General features: G+C 35.7%; 1 annotated feature.

Moving 5' to 3' along the window:
• Nucleotides 428–497: an enhancer, noted in NCBI's record as "active region_5329". NCBI's record gives its function as "activates an Ori minimal core promoter by ATAC-STARR-seq in GM12878 lymphoblastoid cells {active_cell/tissue: GM12878}" and the evidence as "EXISTENCE:reporter gene assay evidence [ECO:0000049][PMID:35858748]".

Genomic DNA, 1,023 nt, shown 5'->3' with positions numbered 1-1,023 from the left:
TCCAACACTCCATTTTTGATCCCAAAAGAAGGCAATAATATGTTCCTCATAATATTGTTGTAAATTTCAGGTGATACAAAACACTAAAATGGCTAGTACAGTACCTATGCAAAGGGTATAGCTGTTATTTTGTTTCTTATTGTATTTATTAGTGTTATTGTTATGATGAGGACAAGGAAGATGATGGTAGCGTACTTAACTAAAATTTTTACCCAGGATTTTGGTCCTGGGTAAAAATGTGTCTGCTACTCTCCATTATACTCTCCATAAACGTGTTGCTTTCCCCTCCCTGTCCCAGCATGTGTCACCCTCAAGTATCAGGCAAAAGAGTTTAAGTTTTTTACTTCTATCTACTTTTAAATAGAATCAGTCTACACATTCATACCAGTTATAACATTTGGATTGGCAACACCATCAAGTAGTCATATTTTAGTGTTTATATGTATAAAGAGAGACCGAAGGCTAACTAGCTACACTGTATAAGAAATGAAACCAAAACAGCTTTCCATTTCTGCAAAGTAAGCAGAGAAAACTCCATTAGCAACAACATACAGTCACACAGGCAGGCCTAGCACATCAGTGTTGTAATTGAAAGAGCTGATACAGAAACCAAAAAGGTGAGTTATGTTATTCACTTAGTGACTGGTAAGCACATAACAAGTGTCACCTGGGAGGTTCAGAAACTGTGTGTGTAATTCTTTAGAGCTACAACAAGGAACTTCGCTTCAGTAGTAAGAAAAGGATGAATGAGTACAGCTCAAGCAAAATCTCTTTTCTTTTAGGAGTTTAACTGATTAGGCATTGCTAAGACCTTTGTCTCAAACAAAATTAGGAGTCAAGCCAGTGATACTACAGACAGCTCACACTAGTAATTACCTCTCTTACAGTAATGACTTTTTAGTGCCAAAACTTTACATTTCCATTTGCTCATTAGAGATTTCAAAATGCTTTGTGTGTTTTTTCACTTTTTTAGAAGTTGAAAAGGCACTGAGCTGTTCAAATGTTTTTATAATCAATGCTACT

Source organism: Homo sapiens, chromosome 11 (genome assembly GCF_000001405.40).
Source record: "Homo sapiens chromosome 11, GRCh38.p14 Primary Assembly".
NCBI classification, from domain to species: domain Eukaryota; kingdom Metazoa; phylum Chordata; class Mammalia; order Primates; family Hominidae; genus Homo; species Homo sapiens.
Note: the sequence above shows the minus strand (reverse complement) of the source record. Positions and strands in the feature narration are given on the sequence as shown.